General features: G+C 37.6%; 2 protein-coding genes across 20 annotated transcripts in view, besides 5 other annotated features; one reads left to right on the forward strand and one right to left on the reverse strand.

The window, feature by feature from the left end:
• Positions 5,011-5,100: an enhancer, noted in NCBI's record as "active region_22573". NCBI's record gives its function as "activates an Ori minimal core promoter by ATAC-STARR-seq in GM12878 lymphoblastoid cells {active_cell/tissue: GM12878}" and the evidence as "EXISTENCE:reporter gene assay evidence [ECO:0000049][PMID:35858748]".
• SETD9 (SET domain containing 9) lies at positions 5,039-24,679 on the forward strand. 13 transcript variants are annotated; one of them, NM_001323022.1, is made up of 6 exons: positions 5,039-5,239; positions 7,088-7,315; positions 8,790-8,913; positions 9,653-9,768; positions 10,640-10,745; positions 12,594-13,117. In NM_001323022.1, the coding sequence occupies exons 2-6, from the start codon at positions 7,306-7,308 to the stop codon at positions 12,679-12,681; spliced, it is 444 nt and encodes a 147-aa protein (NP_001309951.1). In that variant the 5' UTR covers positions 5,039-5,239; positions 7,088-7,305; the 3' UTR covers positions 12,682-13,117. The 13 variants fall into 13 exon arrangements, 9 of the variants coding, with proteins under 9 accessions (NP_001309951.1, XP_005248483.1, XP_011541442.1 ...); XM_005248426.5 differs by having other exon boundaries at positions 5,131-5,239; positions 6,948-8,037; positions 12,594-13,127; XM_011543140.4 differs by having other exon boundaries at positions 5,131-5,239; positions 6,948-7,315; positions 12,594-13,127.
• Positions 5,251-5,460: a silencer, noted in NCBI's record as "silent region_16024". NCBI's record gives its function as "represses an Ori minimal core promoter by ATAC-STARR-seq in GM12878 lymphoblastoid cells {active_cell/tissue: GM12878}" and the evidence as "EXISTENCE:reporter gene assay evidence [ECO:0000049][PMID:35858748]".
• Positions 5,641-5,850: a silencer, noted in NCBI's record as "silent region_16025". NCBI's record gives its function as "represses an Ori minimal core promoter by ATAC-STARR-seq in GM12878 lymphoblastoid cells {active_cell/tissue: GM12878}" and the evidence as "EXISTENCE:reporter gene assay evidence [ECO:0000049][PMID:35858748]".
• Positions 5,891-5,940: an enhancer, noted in NCBI's record as "active region_22574". NCBI's record gives its function as "activates an Ori minimal core promoter by ATAC-STARR-seq in GM12878 lymphoblastoid cells {active_cell/tissue: GM12878}" and the evidence as "EXISTENCE:reporter gene assay evidence [ECO:0000049][PMID:35858748]".
• Positions 6,036-6,857: an enhancer, noted in NCBI's record as "H3K27ac hESC enhancer chr5:56206084-56206905 (GRCh37/hg19 assembly coordinates)". NCBI's record gives its function as "activates a minimal SCP1, AML or CMV promoter by ChIP-STARR-seq in naive H9 embryonic stem cells {active_cell/tissue: H9 hESC(naive)}" and the evidence as "EXISTENCE:reporter gene assay evidence [ECO:0000049][PMID:30033119]".
• Positions 15,382-27,747, reverse strand: part of MIER3 (MIER family member 3) — a 32,607-nt gene continuing 20,241 nt past the window's right edge. For 5 of the 7 annotated variants that reach the window (XM_047416840.1, NM_001297599.2, NM_001297598.2 and 2 more), the window contains exons 9-13: positions 26,443-26,524; positions 24,546-24,640; positions 19,694-19,821; positions 19,470-19,612; positions 15,382-19,364 (exon numbers count right to left, since the gene is read on the reverse strand). In XM_047416840.1, coding sequence (XP_047272796.1) covers positions 18,907-19,364; positions 19,470-19,612; positions 19,694-19,821; positions 24,546-24,640; positions 26,443-26,524 — 906 coding nt within the window. In that variant the 3' untranslated portion in view covers positions 15,382-18,906. The remainder of the gene's footprint in view (positions 19,365-19,469; positions 19,613-19,693; positions 19,822-24,545; positions 24,641-26,442; positions 26,525-27,747) is intronic. The other 2 variants (NM_152622.5, XM_011543217.3) reach the window with 1 other exon arrangement.

Consider the following 27,747-nt stretch of genomic DNA (forward strand, 5'->3'; position numbering starts at 1 on the left):
GTTTATTTTGCCTCACAGTTCTGCCAACTGTATGAGAAGTGTGGCGCTGGAGCATCTGCTCCTGGTAAGCCCTCAGGAAGCTTCCAATCATAGCCGAAGGCAAAGGGGGAGCTGGTGTATCACATACAGAGAGAGGGAGCAAGGGAGAGAGGAGATGCCAGGCTCTTTTCAACAACCAGCTCTCGCATGAACTCACACAGCAAGAACTCACTCATTGAGGTGAGGACAGCACCAGGCCATAGGTGAGGGATCTGCCCTCATGACCCAAACACCTCCCACTAGGCACATCTCCAACACTGGAGGTCACATTTTAACATGAGATTTGGAGGGATAAAAACATCCAAACCATATCACTACCTCAGTGCCTTTGCATTTCCCATTGGGAGAATCTCCCCGTGGATATTTTCAAGTTCGTTGCCTTCTTATTCAGGTCTCAGCCATTCATGTCATCACCCTATCGAAAATTGATACCCCTAATCCCACACCATGTGACCCACATAAAGAGAGTGGGGTCCCAGCAGGAAACAGATGACACACACAAATTAAGACATTTGAAAATAATTGTGTAACAGCATGGACAGAATGAAGGGAAACCACAAGGATAGTACACAGAACTGTGGAGTTGGCAATAATAGAGTGCTGTTACCATCCATAGGCTTGAATGAAACCCGGAAACACATAAGACTACATGGAGAGGACCTTAGGTTGGAATACAGCCAGTACACAGAGACCAGCACCTCACTCTCCTCTCTTCTTGCAGTTTCCTGCCAGTGCTCTCCACTGGTTGAATCCACTTGGAAGCAGGAAGATGAGGGACCTTGTTGATGTGCAAGCCAGTCAATCCCCCAGGGTGTGGACAGTGGATCTGGACAGGCTACATAAGATATCCAGCCCACTCTCTTCTCATTATCCTGCCTTGTTTTCTTTATTGCATTTATCACTGTCTGACATTATTTATGTGTTTACTTAGTATCTGTCTCCTGCACTAGAGCTCGGGACATAATAGAAGTTCAATAAATTATTTAAAAATCAAGTTAATCTCATTTTGAACTCTGGAAGTTACAATCTGTCCAGGCATACATGCCTTATTTATAATATTTAGGACACTGATGTTAAAGATGATTTTACCAGCCAGGTGCAGTGCCTCACGTCTGTAATCTCAGCACTTTGGGAGGCCAAGGCAGGAGGACCGATTGAGCTCAGGAGTTCAAGACAAGCCTGGGCAACATAGTGAGACCCCATCTCTACAAAATTAAAAATTAAAAAATTAGCCAGGCATGGTGGTGCATGCCTGTAATCCCAGCTACTTGGGGAGAATAAGGAGGGAGGATTGCTTGAACCCAAGAGTTTGGAGGCTGCAGTGAGCTATACCCTGTCTCAAAAAAGAACATTTTTCCTACACAGTAGTTTTGTGATTTATAGCATAAATGGGTTTTAAATGGAAAACACAGCACATACATTCTTATATTCAATTGGGTAGAGTATTTGGGGAAACTGGAAACAACAGGAAGTGGGAAAAAGAGTCAGAAGAAGAGGGTAATTTTGGATAGCAGCATATCTCCATGCCCATCGTGGCCAATCTTTTGCTTGCTATCTATGATATATTATAAAACTGTCTGTCAAATTGTCATTCTTCATTCATCTGTATTTAAAAGTTATGTAAATCAATAAAGACAGATGATTTAAAAGACACTATGAACCAATGACCTACTTAATATTTATAGAACCCTAAACCCAACAACTACAGAATATACACTCCTTTCAACTGAACACGGTATATTCACCAAGATAGAGTGCATGCTGGGACACAAAACAAGTCAATAAATTTAAAAGAATTGAAATCATTCATGTTTTCTGACACAACAGAATTAAACTAAACACCAGTTACAATAAGATATCTAGAAATCCCAAATATTTGGAAATTAAAAACACATTTCTAAATATTTCATGGATTAAAAACATAAATAACAAAGAAATTTTAAAAATATTTTGTACTGAATGATAATGAAAATACAACATATCAAAATTCCTGAGATTTGGCTACAGTAATGTTTGGAAGGATAGTTATAACTTTAGATGCTTCTATAGAAATGAAGGAAAGACCAAAATCAGTGACCTAATATTCTATTCTAAGAAACTAGAAAAAGAAGAGAAAAATAAACTACTTTATGTTTAAGTAGAAAACATAAAATAATAAAGATAAGAATATGACTGGTCACGGTGACTTATGCCTGTAATTCCAATTATTTGGAAGGCATAGGCAGTTGGGTCACTTGGGGACCAGTTCAGGCAACACAGTGAGACCCCATCACTAAAAATAAAAAAAGAGAGAAAAAAGATAAGAACAGAGGTCAACAAAATAAAAAATAAGCAGGGAAAAGTAATAAAGCCAAAAGCTGTTTCTTTGAAAAGATTGACAAACCCTCAATTACAATGATGAAGAAGAGAACACAAATCACCAAAATCAGGAACAAAAATGGGCTATTACAACAGATCATACAGACATTAAAAGGTTAGTAAGACAGTATTTATAAACAACTTTATACCAAGATATTTGGCAACTTAGACAAAATGAACAAATTCCATAAAAATATAACTTACCAAACAACACAAGATGAAACGGACATTATGAATAGCCCTATATCTTTAAAATAAGTTGAATTTATTATCAAAGAAAATTACAAGCCCAGATGTTTTCACAGGCAAATTCTATCTAAAAAATTTTAAAACATACTTCAAAATAAATGTGGGATGACAATAGCATATATTAAAACCTACAGGATCTGACCAAAGAGGTACTCATAACTGAGTAGTTATGTCAGAAATCCAAGGACGGTCAACATTTGACAATGTGTCATCATTCACTACATGAATAAATGAATAGAAACTATATGGTCATCTCAATAAGCAGAGAAAAGCATTTGATATTTATCATTCATTTAAAATTTAAAACAATAAAAATTTTTGGAAAGTCAAAAATAGAACTTTAAAAAACTTCATAAAGTATACATACCTACTAGAAAACTACAGTAAATATTAAACTTGAAGGCAAAACCTCAAAAATAGAAGAATGCAGTAGACTTAAACCAATATGGGTAGATCTTCAAGATGTATTTTTGAGGAAATCAAATAAGTTGTGGATCCTTATAATATTTTAACAATACTCACACAAAATACTATGTATTTTCTATAAAAACATACGCGGGTATGTAAATACATAAAAATAAAACTGGCAGAAAACACACCCGTCTGATAACTTCTGAGAAGCGCCAAGTACCAGGATTGGTGGAAGTACAAGGTACGGTGTTTGGTTAAGGGTGACTTGAGCTTTAGCTACCATGTTTCTATTTGTATAACTTTAGATGCTTCCATTAGAAAAGAAGAAAAGATTAAAATTAGTGACCTAATAACCTACTTTAAGAAACTAGAAAAAGAAGGTTTTCATTAATTACTTAGCTAACCAAAATTTAATTTTAATACCATAAATATAAAAAAACTGTAAAAATATACAAAAACTGATTTTTTTCTTTTTTTAGACAAGTACATTACCATAGGTAAAGATTAAACTAGTTCTTTTGGGTTCTTTGTTAAGTTTGGAGACTATAAAGAAACTTTCTTGTATGCCACTTATTAATACATCCTGGAACTGAATTGACTCCATTTAGCAAGTCAGGTAAATCTAGATTATGCCAAATTATCAAACAAACACAGAGTCTGAGAGAAAGCCTCTAGAGTTTGCTAACATTCTATATGATATGAACGAAATAGAGACATTGGTAGATACTCTTTCTCTTTATTTCTTTCAGAATAGAACAAATTAGTCCCGCAGCTACTGGCGATTGGCTGAATTTTTTTTTTTTTTGAGACGGGATCTCACTCTGTCACCCAGGCTGGAGTGCAGTGGCGGATCTCGGCTCCCTGCAACCTCCGTCTCTCAGGTTCAAGCGATTCTTCTGCCTCAGCCTCCTGAGTAGCTGGGACTACAGGCACGTGCCACCAACGCTCGGCTAATTTTTGTATTTGTTCTTTTTTAGTAAAGACGGGGTTTCGCCATGTTGGCCAGATTGGTCCCGAACTCCTGACCTCAGGGGATCCACCCGCCTCGGCCTCCCAAAGTGCTGGGATTACAGGCGTGAGCCACTGCGCCCGGCCTTGGCTGAGTTTTTATTAGATCTGAGCCGTTCAATTTCAATAGTTTAGGATCCAACCTCACTCTCAGGCAAAGAATAGAGGAAATGATACCAACGTATTTATCTGTCAATAAACACTTGGTGATTTGAATATGGTTAAGGGATTCCTGTAGTTTGCCCCCCTTAAAACTGAACTTTGTCCAAACCTGTTCTAAATATGTGTGTGCGTGTGCATGCATCTGGGTGTTGGGGAGGAGCGGTCGTAAAGTTCCTTTTAAATTTCACCTATGGGGGACTACTTCCCACCTCATCCTATGAAGTCAACATTAGCCTAAATACCAAAGCCAGATTAAGACACTACAAGAAAACTACGAAACAATATCTCTCACGAACACAGATGCAGAACTTCTAGACAAAACGTTTCCAAATTGAAGCGAAGACCATATTAAAAGGACAAAAGCACCTCAGTGGTTGCTTGGGGACTGGGGGAGGGGCTGGATTACTATCTTGGCTGTGGTGTCGAAAACCTATCAAATTGTTCACTTTAAATATGTGCAGTTTATTGTATCCCAACCATTCCTCAACAAAGCTGTTTTTCAGAAACATTTGTCCATGTAGTTTTGCCTTTGAATGGTTGGGTCAATGAAGAGAAAAACGAGTGAAAACAGGGAATCATGACACTTTGTTTTTTTACGTGTAAATATTCGCAAAACGCCCAAACTGGTAACTTTGGGAACACGGGTTCACGCAGAAGAAGGGCTGCTGTCTGGGGAGGACTGAAACTCGGGTTCCCGAAGTCGGGCTGCTCTGGGGCCACGGAGAGAAGGGGAGAGAACGTCGAGGAAGAGGCAGAGCTCAAGTGGACGGAGGATGGAACACAGAGCGCGGCCGGGACAAAGGGGCAGGCCAGACAGCCGTGACAGAGAAACTAGGCGGTCCGCTCCTGGGACGCGGTCTCGGGGGCGGGTTCGCCCCTGAGGCCCGGTGACCCTTCGCCCGCAACCAGGGCTAGCGCTTGTGTGCGCCCACGGAAGCACCCGAGCGACCGGAGAAAGAAAAAGTGGTCAAGGGGACCTCCTTCCAGCTCTACGCGCCTCTCATTCAGAGAGGTGAGGTCAGGAAAGGGGAAGGACGAAGCCCCAGAGCAACAGAAGTCAGGCGGTGCCAGGAACACTGAGAGCGGAGCCAGGGGAAGGCGGCCGAGCGCGGCCCCCTCTCCTCCCGGGCCGGGGCGGGCCCGAGGCCTCGATCCGCCTTCCCCGCGCCGTCCTGGTCACGGCCCCGCGGGGCAGCCATGCCTGGCCGTCTGCTGCGGGGCCTGTGGCAGCGATGGCGCCGTTACAAGTACCGCTTCGTTCCCTGGATCGCACTGAACCTAAGCCACAACCCGAGGTGAGAGGGCGGGACGGCAGAACGAGGGGCACCTGCCTTCGGTTCCCAGACGCCACCACGGCGGCGGGACGCAAAGCGGAGAGCCTGAGGCTGACTGCCGGCCTGAGATGGGCGGGCCCGGGTGGGCAGGGACTGAGGTGGGCGGGCCGGGTGGGCGGGGACTGAGGCCTCGGAGGGGTTTAAGGAACGCGGGCCAGAGGCGGGCGGGGCCGAGGTTGGTGGAGTCCGAGGCCCGCTGGAAGCCTGAAGTGGGCGGTGGCTTCAGGTGGGCGGGGCCTATGGCCTCTTTCCCAGTGTCCGCTGCGCTGCCGGGCCCGCGAGGCCGAGCTCGCCAGCCGGATGTGTCGCCTGTTCTTCCCTGTTGCGTTCGGCACTGACTGGGGAGCTTGTATCTGGGCAAAAATGGAAACTTTTTAAAAAGACTGCCCTTACCGCGTGAGAGTGCGTGGCTTTTTCTCCACCAGGGGTTAATTAGGTGCTTGAACTTCCTCAGAAAAGCCAAGCCAGGGTTTATTTTCATAGTTCATACAAGTACTTCACGTGGTTAAAGAAGCCCATCCCGGCTGTGAGAATAGCGTGCAGTAGCTCGCGCGTTAAGAACGGGCAGAACGCCACTCAAAAGCACGTCGGGATGGTGGGTTTCGGATTGGGGTGAGTCCCGCCGGCGTTATTAAGGGCGCACCAGTGATCAGCTCAACACCGTGCTCACCAAAGAGGCCGACCGGGCCTCCCTGAAGTCAGTGTCCGACAAATAGGGAAACAAAGCGGTTTCCGGAAGGTTGCATGCTAGGGAAACAGGAGATCAGTTGTATCATGACTCGGAACCGTGAGGCGGGAATTACAACCTTTTTGTTCAAGTAAAAATAATGCAGTTAGTACAAAAAGATAATGATTATGGAAATAAGAGGTGCAGTCATTGAAGACGTTAGTCGTCCTGGAGGGAGTGTCACAAAGTATACGATGTTGAATTTGTCTTTGAAACTACAAGGCCATTTTTAAAAAGCCATTGAATGTGAGGTCATTCATTCTCATTGTGATGACATTCAGCTTGGCTGTTGGGTGTAGTACGGGAAAGAGCTGAACTTCGTTTCTGCCTCTGGCTCTCCCACTTACTGGCTTTGGGACCTTGAACAAGTTCCCTAACAATTTTGCTTTCCTTGTCTGCAAAAATGGAATAATGTAAGGACCCCACAGCATGTGGTATAGAATGGGCCTTTCATAAGTACTGACTACTTGGGTGGGAAGTGTTGGGAGTTAGCTAACTAGAACTCCCTCAAACAATTCTTTTCTGAACTTAGTTTCCAGCCCTCCACACACATGAGAATAAGCTTATAGTTCCTTAAGGCCAGGAACCCAGAAGTTATGCAGGTAAGTTTGGCTTTTATCAGTTGAAGGGTAGTGAATAGAAACTTTTCCCATTTTCAGGACCCTCCGATATGTTCCAGAGGAATCCAAAGACAAAGTTATCTCAGATGAAGATGTCCTAGGAACATTACTGAAAGTTTTCCAGGCTCTATTCTTAAATGATTTCAATAAACAATCAGAAATCTTGTCTATGCTTCCAGAATCTGTTAAATCAAAATATCAAGACCTACTGGCAGTTGAACATCAAGGGGTGAAACTGCTTGAAAACAGACATCAACAGCAAAGTACCTTTAAACCAGAAGAAATTCTTTACAAGACTTTGGGTTTCAGTGTTGCCCAAGCAACTAGCTCATTGATTTCTGCTGGAAAAGGTGTCTTCGTTACTAAAGGATTGGTACCAAAAGGCGCAGTCGTATCTATGTATCCTGGTAACAGCACGATTAATATTATACTTTGCCAAGCTTCTTACGTATTGATAAACATAAGTTCAGTAACATACCCAGCCTTGCAATCCTTAGAGTAAGGGATTAAATTGGAAACTCGAGTTTCCATAGATTTTTGCAATTCTAATTCGGAAATTAACTGTTTGTAAATTGTTTTGTGTTAGAAAGTATCCTGGAGTATTTGTTGGGATAAATGCACTTTTTCTTTCAAGGAAAGCTTTCCTGTCAACGTTTAAATTTAGAACATAGTATGACCCACTTTGACAAATTACTTAAAAAGCACTAGAGAAACATGTCAGTTTGGTTTAATTGATAGCTAAGGATAAAAATGGTATGGATAGGCTCACGCCGGTAATCCCAGCACTTTGGGAGGCCGAGGCGGGCAGATCGCGAGGGGTTTGAGACCAGTCTGGCCAACATAGTGAAACCCTGTCTCTACTGAAAATACAAGAAATTAGCCAGGTGTGGTGGTGTGCACCTGTAATCCCAGCTATTCAGGAGGTTGAGGCAGGAGAATGGCGTGAACCCGGGAGGCGGAGGTTGCAGTGAGCCGAGATTGTGCCATTGCGCTCCAGCCTGGGTGACAGTGCTAGGCTCCATCTCAAAAAAAAGAAAAAAAAAAAGCGTACGGATCAAAACATAAAAGACAACATTTAAACCCATAAGTCACCGAATGAAGACCTTCCTGCCCTTTCTACACTTGGAAAGTAAGGCAATTTCTTGGCACAAGATCATTAACTAGAATGCTAAATAGACTACGTTATGTGTTAAACTAACATTATATTATTTGGTATAGTGGAAAGTGTGTGTGTGAATATTTGAGTCAGATAGACCCAGGTTTTTAAAAATTCATTCTCCTGTTTTCTAATTTTACATCCCCAAACAAGGGAGTTTCAGTTTCCTGCTGTACGAGTAATCTAATTTTGTAAAGACTAAATAGAATAAATAAATTAATACTAAAAGAAGTTTAATAAATAGATTAACATGCCTGGAACATAGGAAGCACTCGGTAAATATTTTCTCATTTCGTCTTTTGCCAGTGAAAGGAGAAACAGCCTTAATGTCAGACTCATCTATTCCCATATGTGTCTACATTATTTAATTATTAGCAAAATAAATTTCTTCAAACTCTTTAGATGTTAAATCACATTCTACTTAAATATATATGTGTGTGTGTATATATATACACATATACATATAAATGTGTATATGTATATATATGACTTTGTAAAACTGAGCCTAAAATGTGATGTTCATATTATCATTAACCAAGATAGCCATATTCTGTTTTGCTGTGTGGATGAGTTGGTTCTGTGCTCCATCTGCTATTGGGCGTTCACGCTTTAAGAGGGAGAAAGTAACTAAAGAGAATGTGATTATATTCCAAAGAAGGGTTCTTATCGCAGTGTTTATGATTTTTCATGTTGTTATCATATTTCTTTGTCTTGTTGTGTAATAGGTACAGTATATCAGAAGTATGAGCCGATCTTTTTCCAGTCCATTGGAAATCCGTTTATTTTTAGATGCCTGGATGGGGTACTCATTGATGGGAATGACAAAGGGATATCAAAAGTTGTGTACAGGTAAGTGATGCCCATGTTCAAATTTAATTATAGGAGACAGAACCGCACTTACCACAATGATTATGACTAATAGCATTTGTACTTTATTTATTTTTTATATAAAGAGATGGGGTCTTGCTATGTTGTCCAGGCTGGTTTTGAACTCCTGGCCTCAAGCGACCCTCCCATCTCGGCCTTCCAAAGTGCTGGGATTACAGGCTTGAGCCACCACACCCAGCTCAGCATTTATGCTTCATTTTATTATTTTTTTTACTTTTTTTTTTTTTTGAGACAGAGTCTTGCTCTGTCGCCCAGGCTGGAGTGCAACAGTGCGGTCTCTGCTCACTGCAACCTCTGCCTCCCGGGTTCAAGTGATTTTCCTGCCTCAGCCTCCCAAGTAGCTGGGATTACAGGTGTGCACCACCAGGCCCAGATAATTTTTGTATTTTTAGTAGAGTTGGGGTTTCACCATGTTGGCCAGGCTGGTCTCGAACTCTAGACCTCAAGTGATCTGCCTGCCTCAGCCTCCCAAAGTATTGGGATTACAGGCGTGAGCCACTGCGCCTGGCCAGCATTTATACTTTGAATAAAATTCTGTTTAGATAGCTGCTGTGTAACAACTCAGTTGCCCTACTGATTATACTAAAGTCTTTTTTTTTTTTTTTTAAGAAAAAATGCACTGGTGTAATTCTAGGGTTTTGTATTTTAGGATTCTATTTTAAGATACAGATCCATTAGCTAATGCTTTCACTTGTTTCAGATCTTGCAATGGGAGGGATCGACTCGGCCCTTTAAAAATGAGTGATAGTACATGGCTAACGTCAGAAATTCATAACCCTCTGGCTGTGGGACAGTATGTCAACAATTGTTCCAATGGTAAGAAGGCATCATGGGGCTGTGAGATGAGATATATCAATGGCTAATTCTACTCCTTTGTCATATGACTGAGTGCCAAGGGCAGTTGAGTATAACATATAATAAGCTAGTCAAGTCCTTAAGCAACTCTCACTTTTGGGGGATGATATTAGAGAGAATTAGGGGAAATCTTGATATACATTATTTAGAATTGTTTAATTTACTATTTTTCTTCTGATTTTGCAGTGAATATAGGCAATTGATAACTCCCCTTTGATCATTATTATTTTAGCATTTTAAAAATAGAAATTATTATGTCAGTGCTTCAATATAGCCTTATAGATTAATGGCTAGACTAGTATCTGCTTTCTGTTGCTAAGTTTGTGAGTCCCTATCTATATCTTCTTTAGGAGTTGACTTTCCCATAGGTAAAAGTTTGATTGTTTGAATACATTTAACATGGGCTTTGGCGTTAGTGAGAAACGAAGTCCAAGCCTGACTCTTTTATTAGTATTTAACCTTTAACATTTCTGAGCCTCTATTTCCTGATATATAAAAAGTAAACAATAAAACATACATATATGTTTATTATGTATGTTGGTAGATATTATCTAAACATATGTTATTATATATGTTGTTTATGCAAAAAGTAATAAAACATGTTTTATATATGTCTTTTTGAATATTTTATTTTATATATTTATGATTTACCATATATATCTGCAAATATATATACGTAAATAAACTCTGACAGTACCTGGAACATAGTAGTAATTATTTTGATCATGTTTTGATAATTTAGAAAAACAGACATTGAGTGTCATAATTCAATTCTGTTTTCCATGACCTTGTATAATGGCTCTTTTTCTAAAAATGATGTGCTTGTTCCTAGACAGAGCAGCTAATGTCTGTTATCAGGAATTTGATGTGCCTGCAGTTTTCCCTATAGAACTGAAGCAGTATCTTCCAAACATTGCCTACAGCTATGACAAACAAAGGTTCGTTTGCTAAAAGAGCATTTCATATCTTCTGCTTATGCTGTACTTAAAAAAATATAGAAGAAAAAGCTATGTAGAATTTGGGGTAAAATTTTTTTTTTAGTGAAAAATTATAACTCAGATTTTTATGTTCACACCTTAACGTGTTAATGTAGGCTTATTTGAAATTTAAAATTTTCCTTTAAACTAGCTCATTCTGTTTATTTTTACCCATTTTTATTCTATGGCAATACTTCATAAGTATCCACCTTAAAGTTTTTTCAAATAATTCTGTTGTTTTTCCTACCTACAAAATCTTCAAATATATCTTTACTTTAATCATTTATAATATCATGTTCTCTACCTTATAAGAAAGCATCCAATTGAAGAAAGAGGCCAAATTACACTATGATTCCTTTGCCAATTTCACTATTAGGTTCTTAATAATGAAACTAAATAAAAAAGGACTGTATTCAGAAGACACATATTTTAACATAGCATTTATTTCCTGTTCATTCAGTGGAAAGTCTACTGAGAATATTCAAATAACAATTTTAAAATATAGGTAATTCTGGAGAGCTAAGAGTTCTTTCTTAACAGTGCTGTAGGAAGATACAATCTTTGTATTATTTTGTTGAGTTGCTAGCAAACTTTATTTTATATAGGACCTATTAAATTGTCCTTCTAAGATGAATGACATTTAAAACATGAACTATTATTTATACTTAAAACTTGAGGCCAGACACGGTACCTCAAGCCTGTAATCTCAGCACTTTGGGAGGCCAAGGTGGGTGGATTGCTTGAGCACAGGAATTCGAAACCAGCCCAGACAACATGACAAAACCCCTTCTCTACAAAAAATACAAAAATTAGCTGGGTGTGGTGGTGTGTACCTGTAGTCCCAGCTACTTGGGAAGCTGAGGTGGGAGGATCCTTGACTTGGGAGGTGTATGTTGCATTGAGCTGAGATGGCACCACTGCACTGCAGCCTGGGTGACAGAGCCAGATCCTGTCCCAAAACAGGAAAAAAACAAAAACCAAAAACTTGATAACTTTTGCTTCTCTGCATGTGTATGTTTGTGTGTTTAACTATTAGCTTTTCTTAGCCATATACTCCGGGGCATGATGTTATTAGAACTTTGAATGTATATATGTAACAATATCTAGGCTGGGTGCGGTGGCTCATGCCTGTAATCCCAGCACTTTGGGAGGCCGAGGCGGGCGGATCACAAGGTCAGGAGTTTGAGAACAGCCTGACCAACATGGTGAAACCTCATCTCTACTAAAAATACAAAAATTAGTCAGGCGTGGTGGCACGCACCTGTAATCCCAGCTACTCAGGAGGCTGAGGCAGGAGAATCGCTTGAACCCGGGAGGCAGAGGTTGCAGTGAGCCAAGGTCACACCACTGCACACCAGCCTGGGTGACAGAGTGAGATTCCATCTCAAAAAAAACAAACAATATTTTATGATGTCCAGAAAAAAGCATTTTTTTAAAACTCCAACTAATTTTAAGTAATGTTTTCATTTTTCAGGATATAAGATACAAATGAATGCAAGAAAAACTATAATGTCATTTTAAAATCCTTTTTGTGATACTAGTTTTGGGGGCCTAAACTTAGAAACAATGTTTTCAGAAGAAGTAGTCAGTTGTATAAACATTGATTTGTGATTTTTTAAATGATATAGATATACTCTTTAGAATACCTGCATCAGGAATAAGAACTATTTCCTCATGGAAATCAAATGCATAAACTAAAATGGAAGGAACCTGAGTAAAGTTACCTCTATAAAAGCCATCTTGGTTATATTAAAAATATGAGCTTATATTTGTTAATGCTCTACCTTTTGTATATCTTTTTGTTTTCAGCCCACTTCGATGTGTTGTTCTTGTCGCACTTAGGGACATCAATCAAGGAGAAGAGCTTTTTTCAAACTACTACACAATTGTCAGCTAACTCTGTGAATCAGAAATTATTAGGTTTTCTACTCAGCTATTAATTCTAAGTGTTTTTTGTTAATCACTTCTCTGAGTTCTACCTGTAAAACAAATATTTTGAGACTTAATTGGAATAGGAATTTCTTATGTTTTTGTTGATATTATATTTATGTTCCAATTTCATGATAAAAGCTACTTGCTTCATTACAATTTCAAATTTGTAATGCAATTCCAAGTTTAATTGGTTTTCACCTAAATACACAATAGCTTATTAAATTAAAACCTACTCTTTGAACTTATAATTTCAATTTTTCTTTTGTTTATTTTGTAAGCTCTGTGGTGGTTTATAAAATTGTAGCCAGGCATCAGCAGTTCTTGTAGTACTGCTGATGTGTACAAACTTCTGTAAAAACTTTATTTTTACAGAATTGAGTAAAAAATACCTATTGTGTTGCCATGAGTAAATTGGTGTGTCTATGTATAATGTAAAGATTGCTCTAGCTGGCTGAGGGGAAAATGTGAGGTCATTATTACTATTTTCTTTACTCTTTGAACATTTTCACACCAAAGAAAAGGTGGAAAAAAAGTGCAAGATAGTGTTGGTGGGAGGAACACTTATTCCCCGTGTCTCATGTCTTCATGTGGAGGGCTTCCACTGGTTAATGTTCCTAGCCTCTCTCTCCACCCACTGGAGGGAGATTGACTCCCTGATTATGTTTGGAGAATAACTAGGCACCCATGTCCTATATACCCTTCTAGTTCCTTCCCTGTGGACTCTGGCTGCCAGCAGAAAGAATGTGTCCTGGCAGTTCTCTGCCTTGTGCAGAGAATAGCCTGTAGCCAGCCCAGCCAGTGACAGAGTGAGTCCAGAGGTGTAATATATTGGCAGGCCAACCTGGCTGCAGCCCTGAAGCTACCTTCCCGTTTTATTAGCAATAGTTACTTTGACCTCCATCGACCTGACTCCAGCTCTCTCAGTTCCAAACTTGGATAGGAAGGAGGGTGTTCTTTACTGGATCCCTCAAAAATTCATGGAACCTATATGACCAGATTCTGATTACCTTCACTTCCTTACCACCAGCTTTACTCACCTAGTTTATTGCAATTTCAGTAGCCTCTCAATTGCCTTCCTTGTTTCCACTCCTGTCCCCCTTACAGAACATATCACCAAGTGTGATTCTTTTAAATGAAAGTCAGGTATTGACATACGTCTGCTCAAAACCCTCTCCCTATCATGGAGTAAATGCTGAAGTCCTTCACATGCATAACCTGCTCATGACCTCAAGAGCTCCTCTCCTTTCTCCCCTTGCTCACTCCATCCCAACCCACACCTGCCTCCTGGCCACTCCCCAAACCTGCCAGGCACATTCCCAACCAAGGACTTTTGCACTTAGTTCTCTCTGCCTGTAAACATCTTCCCCCAGACAGCCACATAGCTTGTTCTCTCCCTTCCTGTCACCTCAGTGAGGAGCGTTGCCTCATCACCCCACTGAAATTTACAATCCCTCACTGCTCCCAACCCTGACATATTCCTCATTCTCTTTAGCACTTACCACCAGCAAGCTCAAAAAGCGTACCATAGATGGAAATTATGGCCAAAATGACTTCTAGTAACAGATGTACTAGATTATCCTGCTTCCACAGGCTTTTCCGTCTCCTAAAGCCTGAAAATACTCTGAGCTCTCACATGGCACATTGTTGCATTCTTGCTGTATTCGGAATATGTGTGCTTGTCCCTGCTCTGAAGGCACTTCTGTGCATGTGTCCACCACAGAGCCCTATGTGCTAAGGTCCTTTCGTGTCTGACAAGGAAGGGATGTGGTTTTAGTCAAGTAACCAAAGCAGAGGAGTCAAGATTTTTGCTTTCCTTTTATCCCCTTCTTGGCCTTGTACAAACTTTGGATATTATGGGCAAGCTGATCACTGCATCTTAAAAATGGAACTACATAAAGCTCTGGTCAGAGGAAATGAAATATGGGGACAAACTTGTGAAATAATGGCAAGATAGGAGCTTTAGCTTAAAAAGATGTTTAGGAAAGATAGATATGACTACGGTCAAACTATGAATCGTATGGATAAGGAAGACTAGTTGACCATAAATGTAGTCTGTCAAATAATAATAATATTTGACCAAATTTCAGATCTGTCTGTCTTCATAAAAGACAGTTACCTAGAACAGCGTTTGAAACATAATAAATGTTTCCTGAATTAAACTAAAAGTATAATCCTTACTTTGGGACTTCTTTTTTTTTTTTTTTTTGAGATGGAGTCTCAGTCTGTTGTCCAGGCTGGAGTGCAATGGCAGGATCTCAGCTCACTGCAACCACCACCCCCAGGGTTCAAGCAATTTTCCTGCCTCAGCCTCCTGAGTAGCTGGGGTTACAGGCATGCGCCACCTCGCTCGGCTGATTTTTGTATTTTTAGTAGAGACGGGGTTTCACTATGTTGGTCAGGCTGGTCTTGAACTCCTGACCTCATGATCTGCCCGCCTCGGCCTCTCAAAGTGTTGGGATTACAGGGGGACTTTTATTATAGATGGAAATTATAGAGGATTTAAGGAAAATATTTAATCTACCAACTTCACTATCTATCATATATCTTATTTACTGCATCTAAAACCAATTTAACAGTGGTATAATATCTATCTATTTGCTGTAGCTTAAGATTCATTAAATAAAATATCTGTATTTTTGGCAAATATTCACACAAACCAAGAAAAAAAGATTCCCAGATTTTTATTTCTGGAACTGTACACCAGGTATTAAAGTACAACAAATACAAAATAATGCTCAAAAAAATCAGTGTTTATGTACAAATATTAAAATCAATGCAATAGCAACTTCCTCTTGAACATCTGATACTGAAACTTGTTCTGATTGTCACTAATTTATCTCATACTCACAGGGTACTTATTTCAAACTGGGACAATTGGAATCACTGGTCATCTAAGAGGAATATTAATATCTACCATATTTAACAATAAAACTAATAGTTTCCTCCATTTAGTGAAAAAATTAGGAACTTTTTAAAAAACATAGTAACGTCAATATTTTATAAATTATTTCAATTTCCATTTGTAGACAATGTGCTTTGAAACTCTGGGCAAACAATCTCCTTGGTGGTCAGGTTTATTTGTTAGTTTACATTCAAAGTTGAAATATTCACTAGAGACTTTGGTTAAATTAAATAGTATCACTATGCTCTATTAGATCTGATGTTCTCAAATATTTATGAGCCTCAACATTTTAAAAATTAAAAAGGAAATGATTGCACAATTCTTTGATCTAATTGTACAAATTTTAGTATTTTTTAAACAGTATTCTACATCCTTCAAGTAAATTCAGCAGCTGACCATGACAAGAGGAAAACTAAACATTTAAAAAGCTAGCATGAAAAAGATGAAGTACAACTAACAAATGTATTGCTATAATCACAGCACCAGTTACACTTCTAAATGAATCCACTGTCCTTTTCAAATTCCCTGTACATAAAAGATATATCAGCCAACACTGCAACTGCTCACCATGAATTTTTGGTTTGTTCATAAGAAAATAATGGGGCAAAGGAAAAAAAAACAAAAAGAATTTATCACAGTTTGTTATAAGAATTGTGCTTAACACTTGATAATAAAGGCATTATTGTTTCTTCACATGATTGCAAATCCGGTTGTTTTCTTGCTTCCAAATGCAATTCTTTTAATAAACAGTAACAAATTCTCTGTTAAGATGTTTAAACTGAGAGAAAAAAAAAACCCAGTAAATCCAGCTTTTAAAAGAAAATTCAATAAATAGCTATTTTACATGGATAAAGTCATAGTGGTACAATTTATGAATGTCACATCAAGCATGCACAAAAATGGTATTATACATGGCAGAAGTAGTCAGAAAATATTGAATTAGATCTAAAAAGATATGAAGAATTTACACTTATATACAAAAATCTTGCAAATTATTGCCTCATTTTAACAAGGAATTAAAAGTAAACATTACCAGCTAGTTAGCACTCTCTAAGAGGCTAAAATCAGATTGACATTTAAAAATCTATTAAACTAGCTGGAATTTATTTTTCTCTCATACCATTTTCTGGATTTTGGTCAAAAATCTTTATTTAAATAACTAAAGTGTCCATTCAACTTGCTGATAATCAAAACTTTAGATAAGAAACACTGTTTCCATCTTATATCAAGACCCCAGCAATGCATAGATAAACTGAATATATTACTGCATCAGCTACTGAGAATGGGCATGTTCATTTAAGTGCAACTGGTATTAGCATTCAGTCATCTTTGTGTAAATTATTTATACAGACCAGCCACTGTAAACCCAGAGTGAAAATTAAGGTTATAACAATGGAAGATTATGGCCAGTATCTTACTAAATTATAGAAAGTGTACTGATTTTTAATAAAAGAAATAAGGTTCAAAGTTTAGCACAACAACACAGCAATAAGAAGCTGACAACTTGGATAAAAATACAAGAAAGTAACACAGAGCCCAGGCTACCCATTATTTACTGTGTGCATACAGGAATGCTATACTTCAGATGTATAAATTAGAGACTGATTTTAAGTTATTAATTTAACTACTTTTTGTCCACTGTGCTAAACTAAATTTTATACTAATGTGCTACTGCGTAAACACTTCAAAGCAATCTTCATTAAAATGCTGCAAAGAAAAACAAGAATACACATCATCCAAAACTAAGGATGTCATTGCAGTTCACAGTTTGTATAATAAATACCCTCCCTTTCAATCACTACTAAGATCACTACATCCTATCTACTCATCAGCACAACCTTGAAGCAACTTATACTTACAAATATTAGCAATGCAGCCAAACATTTGTTTTTTGCAAAGCAACTAGTAAAAATCAAGAATTTTAATTAAGACGGTGCAAACAACATAATTCTCTATTTTAACAGTACTACAAAAGCAAAGATTACATCCTAATACTGTATTACATATTGTTTGATTCACCTTATAACTTAAAAATGCATGTTTATAGCACAAAAATGGCCAAAGTTTAGGACAATGGCTTCTCATTCACAATATTTGGAATAAAAATAAAACTGAGTTTGAGATACATCTGAACATCTATCAATTTTTAAAACTTAAAAGTGGTAATGTACCATTCTATTTCAGATAGGAACTCACATTATTCTTGCCAACTGTTCAAGCTTAACAAAAAAGCTTAAATATACTTCAAGGTTCTACTGCATTAGGTATAAAATCTAGAAGTCCCTCTAAATATTAACACTTTGAACTGCAGTGCTACAAACAACTTAAAAGATGTCCCAAAATGTAAACCATTGAGTGGCAACATCCTAGGCTTTGTAGACTGTGCCTCTGCAAGTCGACTGCCTCAGGATAAACTAAATTATCAATGACTGGTATGATTTTTAAGATTACAATCTTGACAATGGTGGACAAAACCCCATCTGAGTACCACATCTTCAAATGCCAAAACTGTAGCCAATAAATGAAGTTACACAGAAATCTCCTGGCAGTAACATGACCAATTCTGTGTAAGGTAGCCCTGGTCTAGAATTTTGAAACAGGATCCAAGCAAGCGTCTTCATTATTTGCACACAGTTCCTTGTGCTGGCTTCCATAAAGATGGACTTGCTGTTTTGTAAACTGAAGTGCTCTAGTTGAATAACATGAGAGAAGTTTCCATTTTTAAAAAATCCTTGCATGTTTGTGCAGTTTAAAGAAACCTACCCCTGCTTTTATTAAGAAAATAAAACCAAAAAAATGCTACATTGAGCAGGGATCGGGATCGGTACCTGTAAACATTGTTATTCCACTGCATCCATTACGGCAAAAGGAATTTACACAAAAACAGGCCACACCATTCAGTTCAGAACATCTGTGCTGGTTTTGAGCTGGTGGCCTCTGTCTACAGGTTTTAAAATTGGGAGTGAGGGCAGTGGGGAACACAAAAGAATAGAAAAAGAAGGGAGTGGGGAAGAGGTATTGGGAGATGAGGAAGAGAGAAGCAGAGCTTAAAGCTGCACCACAGAGTTCAATCTTAGTTCCCAACTCTGCTGATCATAGTTCATTTCCACATTTATGGATTGAAAAATGAAAATACTCTTGATAAATCAAGATATAGTTCTATACATACTGACATCACTGATGTCATAGTGAGAAAGGTTCAAACTTCCAGTGAAAGACTATGCAAACCTGATAGCTCCCCTCAAGTTTACTGGTGCTGCACACGCAGTTCCGGGATCCTCACTCAGGTCACTCAGAGTGTAGGGCCGCGTGCTGATGCAGAGCATGGGCACTGATGAAACCATTGGTCTCGTTGGCAGAGAGACTGCCAAAGTCAGCCACAGAAACAGCCATTTTGGCACTGGTGATGTGATGTGTGTGATTTTCAAAGTCCACACCCAGGTTATTTACAGAAACTTCATTCATAAAGGATTCAGGGACGGCAATGCCCATTTTCAATCTTTTTGCTGGTCTCTCTGACTCTTCACTGCACATGTTCATAGGGTTTAGCTCCGAGTGATAAAATCCAGTCTCAAATAAATTAAAACAATCACTTTCCCCATTGCTGGGCAGGGTGAGTAACTCTTCTGTTACAACAGGCACATGATTAACTTGTCCACGGGGTGTGTTGCCCAGTGGAGGAAAGCTATCATCCAAACAATTCACATCTGTGGGGTCGCAGACGGTTGCTACACTGTTGGTCAAAGCTAAAAAGGAATGGAAAATTGTTTAAGTAAGTGGTCCTATGACATCAAACAGAGGACACAATTTTGCAACAAACTGTACTAAATGCAGAAAGGTCTTCATTTTACCTGTCAAGTCACTGGCAGTGAAGGAGTTGAGAATGTTTAGCTGTTGATCAGGAATAGGCTCAGGCCGGTTAGAAGTTAAGGCTGAAGCATTTACCGTCCCACCCAAAGCTTCTGTTTCATCTACTAAACGATCCATATAGTCCCTGAAAAACACACCCCAGTAATTTTATGACTATATATTACAGTTAAAAGTAAGTCTTTGAAGGCAAGGCCACAGTACTTACGTAACTCCAGGGTGATGGTTATATCTTTTTTTCCCAAATCTTGTCTGTTGAGCAAAGTAATCATAACGTTCAGATTTCTTCCACATATAGTAGAATGCTACACACTCAGCAACTGTCCTAGTTCTCACCTAATGAAAAAGTTGAATTTTTAAAAAACCAACAAACTCAACCATTTTTTTAAGCAACTTTTCTTTTCCACAACACTACAACTTCAATCCATGGGTCTTATTTTCCCATTATATAGTTCTGAACACTTTTAATAAATTATAAAGTTCTGAACACTTTGATTAGTGGAATGCCTTTACATTTAATAATGAGGCCATTTTCGAAAGCCCAAGGTTTTTTTTTTAAAAAAATCAGAATGTATTAGTTTATAAAACAAGTGTGTATCCAGAAATTATCTTACACCTTCACTGAAAATCTTAAACACTAGCATTCTTTACTTTTCTTTACTGAGCTCTGTGATTTTGACTACAGTGAGGGTTCTTAACTTTGGATTAACTAACCCCTGAGGGGTCCATAAATGGATTTCATTGAGATCTATTAATTCACAAAATTATATTTAGGTATATTTTTCTGGAGAGAAGGAATGCAGCCTCATCAGATTTGAGTTCCACTTTCCAAAAGAGATTAAGAACCCTTGGCAAATGGACCAACGGTCTACAGCATCTGGAATTTAAGATGACTTGCTAGCTAAAGGCAGGGCTTTCTCCCTCCAGTATGTTTGGTTTTTAGATCCAACAGATTTTGGAAACAACAACAATAAAATTTGAGCCTCACCACCTTGGCTCCACACCCAAACCAGGGTTCCTCTAACCACATACAGCCACAGATATGAATTCAGATGTATGAACAAAATTCTTCATCCTTATCCAATAAATGCTTTCTCCCTTGCTTAATCAGTACCCGATAAAGAAGTTTCAGTATCTCTAACCTGACTCCTGAGTAAGTTGTGATATAAGATTACTAATATGGGAATAAGCTTTTTAAACCAAGAAATACAGTATACCTTTCAATAAACATCATTAACTATAAGTCTTCGCAGAGAATGCAGGCTTCGTGGGGCTACAGACCTTTTCTGTCTTATTCACTGTTGTATCTCTAGTGCCTAAAACAATGTCTGGTAAGTGAAGTGGAAGGACATAACTGTTTACGGAATGAATGGATAGAGTAAATTTCATAAGTCATTACAAAACTGATGGTTTTTTTTACTTAAAAGGACAATCCAGACTTCTTTAAAAATGTCTTAAATTATACGCTTTATCTCATCTTTGAGAAACATTAGATTTTCAAACATACAGAAAGTGTGAAATTTTCAACATCAATACTGGAAGGTCTAGCTAATGCAGTAAGACAAGAAAAAGAAATAAAAAGTATACAGATTGGGAAGGAAGAAATAAAACTGTCTCTGTTTACAGGTGACATGACTGTCTACGTAGAAAACTCCAAAGAATCAACAAAAAATCGCCTGTAACTAATAAGCACTTACAGCAAAGTTTCAGGAGACAAGGTTAATACACAAAAGTCAACTGCTTTCCTATATAACAGCAATGACGATTGAAATTTGAAATTTAAAACACAAGACCATTTACATTAGCACCCCAAAATTAAAATACTTGGGTATAAATATAACAAAATATATGCAAAATCTGTATGAGAAAAACTACCAAACTCTGATTAAAGAAATCAAAGAAGAACTTAACGAAGAAATATTCTATGTTCATGGATAAGAAGACACTTCATTGTTAAGACGTCAGTTCTTCCTAGCTTGATCTACCGATTTAGCACAAACCCAATCAAAATCCCAGCAAGTTATTTTGTGGGTATCAACAAACTAATTTTATATGGAAAGGCAAAATACCCAGAATAGCCAACATAGTATTACGAAAAGATAAAATCAAAGTACTGACAGTCCCCAACTTCAAGATTTACTATAAAGCTATAGTAATCAAGACAGTATGGTATTGGGGGGGTGGGGAAAGACAAATAGATTAAAGGAACAGAAGAGAGAGCCCAGAAATACACCCCACGGGTACAGTCAACTGATCTTTAACCAAAGAACAAAGGCAATTCCATGGAGGAAGAATGTCTTTTCCACAAATGATGCTAGTACAACTGGACATCCACATAAAAAAAAAGAGAAATGAATCTAGACATAGACCTTACTCCTTTCAAAAATTAACTCAAAATGGATTATAGACCTAAATGTAAATGCAAAACTATAAAGCTCTTAGAAGACAACAGTAGAAAATCTAGGTGACCTTAGGTTTGGCAATGATTTTTTTAAATAAAATGCTAAAAGTGTGAACAATCAGATGAAATTCTAAGTTGGACATAATTAAAATTAAAAACTTTTACTCTGCAAACACACTGGCAAGGGAATAAAAAGACAAGCCTCAAAATGGAAGAAAATATTTGCAAAACATGTATCTAATAAAGGACTAGAATCCAAAATATACAAATAACTCCTTAAACTCAACAAGAATACAAACCACCCAATTAAAATCTGGGCAAAAAATCTGAATGAACACCTGAAAAAAAAACACACAAATGGCAAATAAGCATAAGAAAAGATGGTCAACATCATCCTCATGAGGGAATTACAAATTAAAACAAAAAAGAGATGGCATTAAAAACTATTACAGTGGTGAAATCCAAAACACTGACACCACGAAATGCTGGTGAAGATGTAGAGCAATAGAACTCATTCATTACTGCTGGAAATACTAAATGGAAGACAGTTTGGCAGTTTCATGCAAAATAAACACATTTTCACCATTCTATCCTGTAATCCTTACTCCTTCGTATTTGGACAAATGAATTGAAAACCTACATCCACATAAAAACCTGCACATGAATATTTATAGCTTTAATGATAATTGCCAAAACTTGGAAGCAACCAAGGTATCCTCTAACAGGTAAGTGAATAAATACACTGGTACATCCATATAATGGAATACTATTCAGTGATAAAAAAAAGAATGAGCTATCAAGCCTCAAAACAAACACAAACAAACAAAAAACCCCATGGTGAAAACTTAAATGCATATTGCTAAGTCAAAGAAGCCAATCTGAAAAGGCTGCATACTGTATAATTCCAACTATATGACATTCTGAAATGGCAACAGTACAGACAATAAAAAGATCAATGGCTGCTAGAAGTTGTTAGGGAGGAGGGGGAAGGGACAGAGGGAAGAATAAAACATGAGATTTTCAGGTCAGTGAAGCTACTCTGTATGATACTGTACTGGTGGATATGTATCATTATATATTTGCCAAAATCAATGGAATGTACAACATGAAGAGCGAACCTTAATGTAAACTATGGACTTTAATTAATAATAATGTATCAATATTGGCTCATTAATTTTAACAAATGTACCACACTATTAATAATAAAAGATATAATAATAACTATAGGAGTGGAAGGGACATAAGGCAACTCAATACTTTCTGGTTAACTTTGCTGTAAACCTGAAACTGCTCTAAAAACTAAAGTCCATTAGCTTTTATAAAAGCATAAAATACTGAGCTACCCACCAAAATGCTTCAGAACCCTGCCTTCCTTTAGGATGAAAAGAGGAAATAAACAGAGCATATTTTAATGAGAATTATTCCAAACTATTCTAATGAACATACATATGTATTTTGAATAGACTTTAGTTTTTAAGAGTAGTTTGAGGTTCACAGCAGAACTGAGCAGAAAGTAGAGAGTTCCTATATATCCTGAAGTTCTACTTTCAACATCCTACATTGGAGTAGTGTATCTGTTAAAAAAATCAATGTACCTACACTGACACATCAACACGCAAAGACCATGGTTTACATTAGGGTTTACTCTTGATGATGTACATTCTATGGGTTTTGACAAATGTGTAATTACATGTCTCTATCATTACAGTATCATCATACAGGGTAGTTTCATTGCCCTGAAAATGGTCTGTGCTCTGCCTATTCACTTCTCCCTCCTGCCTCGGCCCTGGCACCAGTGATCTTTTTATTGTTTCCATAGTTTTGCTTTTTTCAGAATATCATATATTTGGAAAGCTACAGTATAGAGTCTTTTCAGATTGGCTTCCTTCACTTAATAATATGCATTTAGGATTTCACATGTCTCCTTGCGGCTTGTTAGCTCAATTTTTTTAGTGCTGAATAATAGTCCAGTTCTGGAGGTGCCACACTTTGTTTATCCTTTCACCTCAAAGGACATACAGGTTCCTTCCAAGTTTTAGCAATTATGATGAAAGCTGCTATAAACACTTTTGTGTGGACATAAGTTTTCAACGCATTTGGGTAAATGCCAAGGAACAGGATTATTTAATTATACGGTAAGAGTATGGTTGGTATTATAAGAAACTTCCAAGCTATCTTCCAACGTGGCCATACCACTTTGCATTCCTACAGGCAATGAATAAGAGTTCCTGTTGCTTCCCATCCTTACCAGCATTTGGTGGTGTTAGAATATGTTTCTAGTTGTTTTAGTAACAATGTTTCTTCCTTCAGCAACAGCTACTCTCACTGCTGAAGAGAAATTATTTTGAGGCCACAAACCTCTGAATGGCTTGATAAGAAAGGAAAGTCAAGGAGAAATGAGAGTGAGACTTCCTAAAAAATACAGTGAGTCCACTTTCTGTGTCAACTGTTTATGTGAAAAGATATGTGAATATACTATCAGCCATTCCATAAGCAGGCTGTGGCATCTCTGAGCAAATTAGTCATGTTAGAATGATATCTGAAATGCTATAAGGGAACATTAGTAAGTTGTTCTTTTTTCCTACTTAAGTGACTTATAAATTAGTTGCTTACATTCACTGTAACTAGTAATTTATCTGTACTAATCTGCCTAATTTACCTTATTCTTCTGTATAAGATGAAAATCTTTTCCAAAAAGCATGAGTGCATGTTCAAAGCTTCGGCATTCTTCTTCCGTCCATGCAGTCATTCCTTCTAAGAAAAATTTTAAAATAAAATTTATGGGCCCCCAAATTTTCTTATGTGAATCACTGATTTTCAGTATGTTTTCCCTGTAAAAGGTCACAAACTCTCTCTCTCTCTCACACACACACACTCTCTCTCTCACACACACACACACTCTCTCTCTCTCTCTCTCTCTGTATGCAGGAGATTTCAGTTAGAATTACCAAAAGCATGCATACTACAGTTCAAGTCTAGAATACAAAAATATAAACACTGCTTTTTTTCCACTACATTATGGGATGAGAATTTAAGTTTTCTATAACATGCCTGTTTTTCTGATTAAAAAAAATTTTTTTAAACAATGAGCGTATTTTTCAATTAGAAAAAAAAACTCTACCTCCTTTATTGGGGGAAAGAAGCTCTGTTTTGGTCTTACTTCAAAACCACAAGTTCTAGCCAGGTGCGGTGGCTCATGCCTGTAATCCCAGCACTTTGGGAGGCCAGCGCAGGAGGATCACTTGAGCCCAGGAGTTTGAAATCAGCATGGGCAACATGGAAAAACCCTGTCTTTACAAAAAAACAAACTAGCCAGGCGTGGTGGCGGGCACCTATAGTTCCGGCTACTTGGGAAGCTGAGGTGGGAGGATCACCTGAGCCCACGAGATCAAGGCTATACTAAGCTGTGATCATGCCACTGCCCTCCAGCCTGGGAGACAGAGTGAGACCCTGTCTCAAAAAAGACAAAAAACAAAACCACAAGTTCTTTAATTAGAGACCATAAGTAAAGCATAATCAACACATATTTATTTGAAATTGGTGTGTGGAGTGCTATACTCTGGAAATATAAAGGAAATAAGAAACAGTCCATGCTCTCAAAATAATAAATCCCATTCAATTTCCCAGCAGATGTTAATGTTGGTGAATTCCGTATCTACTTGGGGCAGAGACCTGGAAGGTCTTCAAAGAGTCACAGCCTAGACTTAAGATTAGTTATTACTCATCTGTATCTCTGAAGTGTCTCATTTGACATGGGAGACCAGGTCCCCAAAGCCATTAATAGCAGTCCGTAATAAAGGTGAAAAATAGTTTGAACTAAGGAAGAAACCAGTATTTTGAGAGTTTTGAGAGCCTAAAATAATTTTTTTTCAAAGAAGCAGCTTTTCTAAGGGAGACATTTTAATAGACTATCTCAATTCATAAGTTTAAATGTATTATTTTTAGTTTTAATACCTTCCCAAGTCATCTAGTAATATTACTAAGTATTATTTTCATTCTACACATATTTAATGAAAGCTATGGTGCATGCAATCCATTTATATAATGACAAAAAATACTGAAATAGAAGTTAACCATTTTCCTTGACACACACAAAACATAAGAACTATAAAATGTTATTACATGATTACTAAAAATACAATTCTTGAAATAAATTCAGCGGAATATATTATACATGTTTCTTTTTTAATCTTTAATCTCCTTTTCATTTCCTGTCTGGCTGAAAAAAAAAAAGAAAAAATCTTTTTTTCAATGAAATCATAAAACCATTCTTTTTAATTACTTTGGACATATTGTCATGTCTGGGGTCTGCTTTGTTCTGTAACTATTTCTTCCAGAAAGTAGAGGTGGCAGGGGGGTGACTAATTTGTGTTTGAACAGTCTCTGATACATCTAAAAATAGAGTGCAAGAAAAGGAAAAATTATTTGCTATGGAGCTGAACCAGATCTTACAAAAGTGTTACAGGATTGCTCTGTCCCTTAGGATACTTTGCTTATTCTGATCCCCAAATGACCATCCCTGTCATGTCCCTCTCTTAAACCCAAGTGTTTCTTACCTTGAGAGGCCTTTCCATTGCAGCAGTATCTTTCGATTGCTTCCTTTATATTGTGGTTACACTTGAGAAGTTCATATAATGCCTGGGATGGATATTCAATAAAAAGTATTAAAAGTTCATACCTAACAGCATTTTAAAAAACAGGTGTAAGAGTTTTGATAAATATTGGAGTCTTGATAAACACTGAAATCCTCTCTAATTTCAGGGCATTTGAAGGTATATTTGCCCAAGCATTTAGTCTATATAACTATCATGCAGATTGACTCTGGTACCATGTGAGTTTGTTCATCCTCATGCTACCTCTCAGAAGTCACCTGCCTGTATCATTCTTGACTTTTTTTTAAAAACAAACAAATAAAAACACTAGGTCTAAGATTAGAGTTTCCCCTATTTTAGATGTTTCTTTTTCTAGTTTGGAAAAATTAGTTACAGTCTGTCCCTTGATGTCATTTCCTCCCTGTCTCTTTTAGTTTTAATATAAGGGAACAGCAGCAGGCCTGGAATAATAGGCATGGCACTTCAGACTAGGATTATAACGGTCTCCGTTATTTCCATCTACTATGAAAGGTGCCACTTTTCAAAATTAGAATATATTCCTATTAAATCTGCTTGGAATTATGAACATAATAAACAGGAATAACAGAATTCAATTGAAAGTTAAATAATCTATCTACCTTCCCAAGTAAGTTTTAAGGAAGTGAAGATGGTTCAATATTAGGAAAACTTTTAATATATCAATAGCCTACATTTAAAAAAATCATCTCTGAGCTAATTACCCTGATCTGATCACTATACATTATGTGTATCAAGACATCACTGTGTACCTAAATATGTATAATTAAATTTCAATTTAAAAAAATCAAATCAACAGCTGCTTAAAAAGTATCTGATATTCATTTCTAATTTTAAAAAGAAAAAACCCATAATAGTTATAAATAGATGGATATTATCTTGCTGTAATAAAGACAGTAGAACCAAGGATCAGTATTATTCTTAATGTAAAAACCTTAGATGTATTACTTCCACCAAAAGCAGGCACCAAATCACTGTTATTACCAAATATCTCAGAGTTACAGCTAATGCATTAAGACATAAAGCAGGAATAATAATGGTAAGGAAGGAACAAAAGTGTAATTTAATAATGACCCGAAAACCAGAAAACCACTCCATAAATGTATGCAATTATGAGGTGTCAAAAATTATATTACCAATAAATTTTTTAAAAAGCAAACTAGAAAACCTGAGAAACACCTGAAAGAGTCAAGTAGTTTCAACAGTTTAAGATACATTTTTTAAAAAATTGAT

Source organism: Homo sapiens, chromosome 5 (assembly GCF_000001405.40).
Source record: "Homo sapiens chromosome 5, GRCh38.p14 Primary Assembly".
NCBI classification, from domain to species: Eukaryota; Metazoa; Chordata; class Mammalia; order Primates; family Hominidae; genus Homo; species Homo sapiens.